This window comes from Homo sapiens, chromosome 17, assembly GCF_000001405.40.
Source record: "Homo sapiens chromosome 17, GRCh38.p14 Primary Assembly".
NCBI lineage: Eukaryota > Metazoa > Chordata > Mammalia > Primates > Hominidae > Homo > Homo sapiens.
The window spans coordinates 47,294,432-47,303,261 of NC_000017.11; the positions used below are offsets into that span (position 1 = coordinate 47,294,432).

The following is an 8,830-nucleotide window of genomic DNA, read 5'->3' on the forward strand; positions in this document are numbered from 1 at the left end:
CATGTTTCTTTTGGCTGCTGCCCCACTAAAGCCACAAAACAAAGCTGACTGGGTCAGAAGCCCCAGTTCCTGCCTCTCACCAGTGCAAGAACAGCTCCTCCTCAGTGCATTCCAGTCTAATCCATGAGGGAACCAGGGCAGCCATTGCCGCCTCCCTCTACCATGTCTTGCTAGGGTGTCAGGTGCCCACCCAGCCTCAGGTCTAGACCCTGTGGTGCCATCATCACATCCTCCAGTGACAGATACTCAGGGGCGCACATCATTGAGCACTTGCTCTGTGCCATCATTTGGTCCATATGAGTGAACAAGGGGTCATGCATGATCCCTGACCTCTCCAAGCTTAAAGCCCCACTCACCATTGCCCCTTGCCAGAGCTGCTGGCTCTATGCTTCATTCTTTGCTATAAGCAGGGGCTCAGGAGGCAGGTGTTCTGTGACTCGGCCATTTCCCTAGCCCATGGCCTGTAAGCATGGCGGCTGGTTCCCTGGCCATCCCCGTTGTCCCCTCCCTACTTTGGGCCTGGTCTTCATGGTTGCTCATGATCAACATTCCTGCCTCAAACATCAAGAAGTGCATCATCCTCAAGGGAGTTTTCCACTTGCCACAGCCACAGATCAGTCAGGCAGCTTCTGTGAGCCAGATTCTGTGCTGTTGTGGAGTAGGATAGAGAGGCGTGAATAAGACAGTTAACCAAGGATAATTCCCAACATGAGGTTGAATCTGACAGATCCAGGAAGTGTGGAGTGCTCAGGGAATGTTATAGGAGTCCACTGGAGCGAGACTTGACTGGGGACAGGGTAGGCCTGGGTGGCTTCATGGAGGAGGTGGGATGTCTGACAGATCTCAGAGGAGGGGCAGGCTCAGGACAGACAGGAGTGGAGCGAGCATCAGCCCAGAAGGTCTAGCTGTGGGGCTCGTGTTCCCAATGACCTTAAGCACCCGTTCCTCCCTCCCTTTTCTGGCTCCCCTCCCTTTCTCCTCTTCCACTCTTCATTTCTTACTTTACTCCTCTGACTTTCCGATGAACCCGGACTCAGCCTCCCTTTTGCTGGAAGGGTGCCAGTCCTGTGACATTACCACACTGTGGCTACCTTTTAAGGGCTAACCCTACCAAGGCTTGGGGTCAGCCTGCTGGCTCTGACCTGTCACTTCCACTCCCAACCTCACTCCCTGGCTGGCCCATCTTGTCAAAGATCACTTTGTTTAGCCTCACAAAGGAAACACTATGGGACAAGAGTTTCTGAGGAGGCGGAGGCCTCTGAGTGCTGCCAGGCCCCTGTGGTGTCGGTCTTTCCCATCCAGGAGCCGTGGCCAAATGCAGGGTGTAGTGAAAGGCCGGGGGGCGGGTGGGGGGGCAGCTCTGCTGGCTGGCGCACTCCTCCCCCAGCTGCTGTGAGGTTGGCCGATAGCAGCTCACAGCTGCCCCTTCTGTGAAGAACTGCCCTCGGCTGACAGGAGCTGTCTTGCCCCTAGATGTTGGCCAATGACTGATGGAGAAGGGGTTACTCAAGGCTAGACTCTTCGCCTCAGGGTGGGCCTGGCTTTGTGGTGCCATTCACGTAGGATCAGGCTGGAGGGCATCTGGCTGAGACCACATTCCTGCCAGCTCTGCCTCTTGCCATGTCCTGTTTCCCTCCCTCCTCTCTACATCCTCAGCGAGTCCCTTAAATAAGATCCTCATCCAAGCTGTACTTCTAGGGAACCTAGCCTCGGGACACAGCCTTTCTGCTTTCCCCACCCTTCTGGCAGCCCAACATCTCTACTTTCCAGATATACTTGGCAGCTGGGGCAGCTTGGGTTATGTCCGCCATCCTTCCTGGGAAGCAGACATTTCTTTCCATGCCCAGCCCATAGTGCAGTGGCATGATCATGGCTCACTGCAGCCTTGAACTCCTGGGCTCAAGTGATCCTTCTGCCTTAGTCTCCGAAGTAGCTAGGACTACAGGCTCTTGCCATCATGCCCGGATAATTTTTTAAAAATTTGTAGAGACGGGATCTCGCTATGTTGCCCAGGCTAGTCTTGAACTCCTGGGCTCAAGTGATCAATCTGCCTCGGCCTCCCAGAGTGTTGAGGTTACAGGCATGAGCCACCATGCTTGGCCTTTGAAGGTTTTTAAGCAGGTGAGTTACATGATCAAGTTGACTCATACTTTAAAACGGTGGTTCTCAACTGGGAGGAAGGAGCTATTTTGTCTCCCAGGGCACATTTGGCAATGTCTGGTGATATTTTTGATTGTTATAACTGGAAAGGTGCTACTGATGTCTAGAGGGTGGAGCTCAAGGATGCTGCTAAACATCCTAATGTACAGGACAGTCCTCCCCAACAAAAAATTATCTGGCCCCAAATATTGAAAAGTACCAAGGTTGAGAAATCACATTTTACAAAGAGAATCCTGGCCACAGAGGAATTGACAATCACCTGGAGAAGGGGAGATGACTTACTTATCTAGAGACAGGACCAGGCTGAGGACAGGGCATGGAAATATCTACAGTGAGGCCCATCCACCCTTCGCTTAAATAGTTCAGAACATTTGACTCCTAAAATGTTCCTTCCTTGAAATTTCTCATTGAGATCAAGCCTAGTTACTGGACTTTCCATAACTTCTTTCTTACTACTTTGGTCTCTTTTCTTCCTCCACTGGTCAATTTGAAGAATATTCCATTAAAACTGGCTCCATCTTCTGTTGGTTAAGGCCATTTTCTCTGTAAGTTAGAGACATCTTCTGGAAAGACCATATTAGTATAAATAGGGAAAAGCATTGCTTATGACACTGCATAGAGGCTAAGCACTTGGGATCTGAAGTCACAGTGACTTCAGTTTGAGTCCTGACCCTGCCATTTACAAGGCATATGGCCTTGGGAAAGTTACTTAACCTCTCTGACCTCAAAGGGTTGTTATAACAAATGAAAAGGATAACATACTAAAGAACTTGCGGCTGGGCATGGTGGACCAGCTGGCCGGGCCTGTAGTCACAGCTCTTTCGGAGGGCAAGGCACATGGATCACCTGAGGTCAGGAGTTCAAGGTCAGGCTGGCCAACATGGTGAGACCCCATCTCTACTAAAAATACAAACATTAGCCGGGCATGGTGGTGCATGCCTGTAGTCCTGGCTACTTGGGAGGCTGAGGCAGGAGAATCGCTTGAACACGGGAGGTGGGGGTTTACAGTGAGTCAAGATGGCACCACTGCACTCCAGCCTGGGTGACAGTGAGACTCTCAAAAAAAAAAGAAAGAACTTGGCACAAGCCCACAAGCCTAGGCAATATAACAAGACTCCCATCTGTACAAAAACAAAAATAATTAGCCAGCTGCAGTGGCACATGCCTGTAGTCCCAGCTACTCAGGAGGCTAAGGTGGGAAGATCACTTGAGCCCAGGAGTTTGAAGTTACAGTGAGCAATGATTGCACCACTGCACTGTAGCCTGGGTGATAGGGTGAGACTCTGTCTCAAAAAAAAAAAAAAAAGCAAATAAATAAAAAGAAAAAGAACTTGGCACAGTACTTGACACATATTAAATGCCTCCTTGGTTGGTTTGGAAAGTAGATACACATTCTCTTCTCTAAATGCTTTCCAAGTCTGTTCCACTGCACTCCCAGATATGATATGATGAGGTCAGATTGAGAAGGGAACCAGGTCAAGAAAGACAGGTTGTGTTGGTGAACTTGAACTGCGCCTGTAACTTTAAATAATTAATTAATTAAAAAAATGTTGAATTGTGGCAAACATTTCTCCACCTGTTGAGTGCAGAGGCAGGAACCAGGATGAGTCAACAGGGGCATGGGGGAGGCCATCGGGCTACGTGAGGTCATTACTAGTGATTGTCTCTACTGCTGTTCACCTTAGGAAAATCTCTCTTTTTTTCATTTAATTTCTCTTATTTTCTGACTTCTTTTCTCTATGGCATTCATGGGATTTGTTTAACTGCACTGGCCCTCGGCAGTCTGGGAGGTAGGGGATATTTGTTCTCTCTGCTTACTTGGCTCCGTTGGCCAACTCCATGGGTTCTCAGTGCCGTCCCTCTGCCCCTTGGATGCCCCACCCCATCTACCCATACATTCAGGGTGCTCTGTGTGCACTTTCCCTCTCTGCATTTGGAATAACCCCATGCCCTGGATCTCTCCTTTCCTTCTTTCCCTATGCTACAATTTTCCTGTCTTGTGCATGTGCCCTCAGAGCCCTGCTTCTCATCCTGCAAGGTAACACCTAGCTGATTTGAGAAATGGAAGTGGTGGCTGCTTTGTTAGTGGGACGGGACCAGCTCTTCCAAACTGGACCCTATGTTGTTGTCTAACCCAACTGGGTGGCCACGATGACGACAATGGTAGTAGGCCTCTCAGGTCAGGTAGGAGAGGCGAGCAGCGCTGTGTCAGGTCAAAGGGAGAGAGTTTTGGGGCCTGTGAGGCCTTTTGCCATCATCAAGTCACACCGTCAAGGCTACTGAGTGCCCTGTGTAGGTTCAGGGCTGTGGCTTTGTGCTGTGTCAGCCAAACTAGAAGGGCTAAAGAGCTTGCTTCTAGTTCTTAGACTAGAAGGAACTAAGTCTTCTAAGCCTCCTACCCTTTCTCTTGCCTTTCTCAGAAGGCAGAGGTATTCAGAAAAGGGCAAGAGAGAGGGCAAGAGGCCCAGGAGACTTAGTTCCTGAGAATCTTTTGCTCTACAGTGGCTCCGAGCAAGTCCTGCCATACCTTGGGACCCCTAGAAAACTGAGTTTGTCCCTGCTGGGTAGGACTCCCCTGGGTGGTGAGCCAATTCCCTGCCAACCTGGAGGATCATTATCTGTGTGGTTGGGAGAGCAGGATGGTCGTGTGTAGCCTGCTGCCATGGGAGTGGAGCTCTCGCCAGCGGGTCCACCTTCCTGGGCTGTGTGTTTTCAGGCCATGGCCAGTGCAGCTGTGGGGACTGCCTGTGTGACTCCGACTGGACCGGCTACTACTGCAACTGTACCACGCGTACTGACACCTGCATGTCCAGCAATGGGCTGCTGTGCAGCGGCCGCGGCAAGTGTGAATGTGGCAGCTGTGTCTGTATCCAGCCGGGCTCCTATGGGGACACCTGTGAGAAGTGCCCCACCTGCCCAGATGCCTGCACCTTTAAGAAGTGAGTGTGGAGTCTGGAGAGAGCCGGGAGGCTGGGAGGTAGGAGAGGATCCCCTGACTAGAATCCCCAGCTCTCCAGGTGTGTTTCTTGCTCACCAGAGCCTTAGGGAGAGGAGTCCACTCCAGCCAGATGGCTGTCTCTCCTTTTGCCAAAGGCTTTGGGCAAGTTGGAATAGAGCCAACTGTGAAGGAGCCAAAGTTGAACGAGCTGGACTTCGATTGAGAATGTCCTCTCCTAGGGTGACATCCTGACTCCCTCTGAGCTGGGAGGAAGGCTAAACCAGTCTGAGGAACAATCCAGTGCTAATGTTCTGATTCAGTGGGAGATGTGAGGGCTGGAATTATGGAGGACACTCTGTGAAACTACTACAAACCTCCCACTTTAGGGGCCAGAGGAAGCCCCATCAGCCTGAGTCCATGGCACTGCCATTCTGCTTACCACTTTAAGCAGGGCCAGATTTACGAGTGTGCAACCTATGCAGCTGTATAGGGCCCTGTGCCTACAAGGGCCTCATGCTTGTTTTAATGCTCTGCCATCACTGTCTTGACATTCTTAGTAATCTTTGAACAAGGGAGCTGACATTTTCATTTTGCACTGGGCCCCCAAATGACATGACTGGTTCTGACTTTATAGTTCTCAGAAATGGCATAGGGTTCACCATCCTGGCACAGCCCTGGATGGGACGGGAAGTTTAATGAAGGACCTGGGAGGCTTCTGGCTGCCAGGTGCTGCCTACAGGTGAGGGGGACACTCCCACCCCTGAACTCCACACTTGCCATTCAGGTCCCCAGGATTGTCTTACAGGCGCGCGCGCGCGTGTGTGTGTGTGTGTGTGTGTTTTAATGGAGGTGGAGCAGCTTTCTGAATGCATGGAGATCAGAGCTGGACTGGGATACGCTTAGGCTTGCTCCTTCTTTGCCTTAATCACTGTGTCCTCTCTCCTTCAGAGAATGTGTGGAGTGTAAGAAGTTTGACCGGGGAGCCCTACATGACGAAAATACCTGCAACCGTTACTGCCGTGACGAGATTGAGTCAGTGAAAGAGCTTAGTAAGTTCAGCACATCTTAGAGTTGCACACACCCAGGTTCTAAATGTTTCTAATTCAATCCCAGAACCTATCCAACTCCCACCTGTAAAATGGAAGCGTGACTTCTACCTCAGGGAATGTTGTGCAGGCTTGAGGAACAATGGACACTTGATGTGAGCTGGTGTCTCTGAGAGTTGTCCTCCTCTCTTACTAGTGTGTGCAGCCATCCACCACTTCTGCTTCCCAGAGCCCACAGACTCAGCAAGAGCCTGCAAAGCAAAGGGAGCAAGTGCCTCCCTAAGGAAGGGAAGAGAATGTATCCCATTTTACAGATGAAAAAACTGAGGCACAGAGCTGGGAAGTGGTTGCCTGTGATAGTCATCATCTTAGCTCAGTAGGCTAGTAAGCGTTTACCAAGTTTACTTAACTAAAAGTGTTATGCAGTGCCCAAGATTTTGCTTAAAGCTTTGCAGTTTGGAGGGAAACCTTCAACCTTATGGATAGGCAACCAAAAGCTTTATCTGAAGTCCTTCTGCCTCTCTGGGGCCCCTTTTGAAATAAGACAGACAGAAATACAAACAATAGGGAGAAAAAAAATCTTGCCTGCAATTATTCTTGAAGTATTCTCTGTCCTTCATCTTAACTTAAAAGGAGATGATCTTTGCTGCTGTCATCACATCTGATATAGTTATGTGGGCCAGCGAGGCATTGAGATGGTACTCTAGTACTAGAGAGATGGCAATCTCTCCATAGATAGCAATCTCCCATGAAGGCAGAAACACATTTCAGAGAGAGCCACAGTAAGACACAGCCAGCCAGTCAGCTTCCTGGTGGGCGTGTTATAGAAAAGAGTCAGCTCTCTGGGCCTTTTGGCTAATATCAGAAGTAGGGCTGGGGTGAGGTTAGCGATTTGGGGATTGAGTTTGAAGAAACAGTTTTTCCTCTGGAGGAGATTAGGCTTGCTATGATTAGTTCAGAGAGGAGAGGCTGCTGAGATATTATTTTTACCATCTACACTAGGTGGGTATTACAGGCTAATTGATAAGCAGTTCTGTACCTCCACCTCCCCTCTACCTGTGGTATTATAGTACAGGGAAAAGAGTGTGGAAATAAGCATATTAAAATAAATGCTTATTTATAGGGAATTTTATAGCTTGTAAAAGTTATAAAGTATCTTTCATATACATTATCTTATTTTTCTGTCAATAGCCTAGTGAAGTAGAACTACAGTACTATTCTCATCTTCATTTTGAGTCTCAGGAAAGTTAAGTAACTGGCCCAAGCAAGGGAATGGCAAATTAAGATAAGAACTAGGTCCTGAAATCCGTACTCTTTTCCCTGTATTATAATACCACTGGTTTTCTGAAGGGTTGTTGAGTTCAAGTCTGCAAGATGTGCTTTGAGACTCCTGTTCTTGTTCTGCTTCATCACTCATTTGCTGTGTGACCTGGGTACATTTGCTTAATTTCATCATGTGTCAGTTTTACTCATCTGGTTTCATCAGTATGGGGCACAGTGCAGCTAGTGGAGGGTAACCCCTAGTATCTTTGCAGAATAACAAACTTTAGAATTAGAAGAGATGAAGTCTACAAAACACGGTGGGAGTCAGAGAAGAGAGGATAGCTCTGGGGAGGTATACTGGATCAGAAACAGAAATGGAAGAAATAGAACAGCTGCATAAGCAAACTATTAAGAATCACTAAGCAAGCAGAGAAAGGAAAGAGAGGGAAGAGTACACCTACTATATGTTAGGCACTGTTCACTTTATGCTGTTTAGTTCACCGACCTTGTGAGGTGGGGGTATCATTTTCTTTTTATAGATGAAGAAAGACTTGATGAGGTCAGGTAACTTACCCAAGATCACACAACGGGTAGGTAGTGAAGCCAGGATTTGAATTAAATTGTGTAATACTGTTATATCATGTCCCTTTCAGAGGAAGGATTAGGAACCAAAAAGGGCCTATGCAGTACAAAATACATCAGTGAGTGTCAGTGAGTGGCAACTGCCAGACACAACAGCCACCTTGAATCTAGGCATCGTGCACATGAGGCACAGGGTTTCCTGTCACATACTTCCCTGGAAGTCCTGTGATAGGGGTTTGGAGTGGTCCCATCTTCCAGTAGTTGTCTCACTTTTTATTCCTCCATTTTCCCTACTCCCAGAGGACACTGGCAAGGATGCAGTGAATTGTACCTATAAGAATGAGGATGACTGTGTCGTCAGATTCCAGTACTATGAAGATTCTAGTGGAAAGTCCATCCTGTATGTGGTAGAAGAGCCAGGTGAGTGAACCCTGACGGCTCCCGGCCCTGCCCCAGGAGGGAGAGGGAGAACCATGTTAGGCAGGAATCTCTACTCATCGAAGCTGTTAAGCAAAACAGGTTAAGCCTGCAAGTGATAAGTTAGGGGCCAGGTGTGGTGGTTAACACCTGTAATCCCAGCAGTTTGGAAGGCCATGGTGGGTGGATCGTCTGGGGTCAGGAGTTCAATACCAGCCTGGCCAACATGGTGAAACCCTGTCTCTACTAAAAATACAAAAACATTAGCCGGGCATGGTGGTGCATGCCTGTAATTCCAGCTCCTTGGGAGGCTGAGGCAGGAGACTCACTTGAACCCGGGAGGCACAGGTTGCAGTGAGCTGAGATCGCGCCACTGCACTCCAGCTTGGGCAACAGAGTGAGACTCTGTCTCAAAAAAACAAAC

The 8,830-nt window shown here is 48.9% G+C and overlaps 1 protein-coding gene across 1 annotated transcript in view; it reads left to right on the top strand.

Moving 5' to 3' along the window:
* The window catches only part of ITGB3 (integrin subunit beta 3), a 59,917-nt gene that overhangs the window by 40,605 nt on the left and 10,482 nt on the right, over positions 1-8,830 (top strand). The window contains exons 11-13 of the mRNA NM_000212.3: positions 4,877-5,099; positions 6,047-6,147; positions 8,290-8,409. Of these exons, the coding sequence (NP_000203.2) occupies positions 4,877-5,099; positions 6,047-6,147; positions 8,290-8,409 (444 nt within the window). The remainder of the gene's footprint in view (positions 1-4,876; positions 5,100-6,046; positions 6,148-8,289; positions 8,410-8,830) is intronic.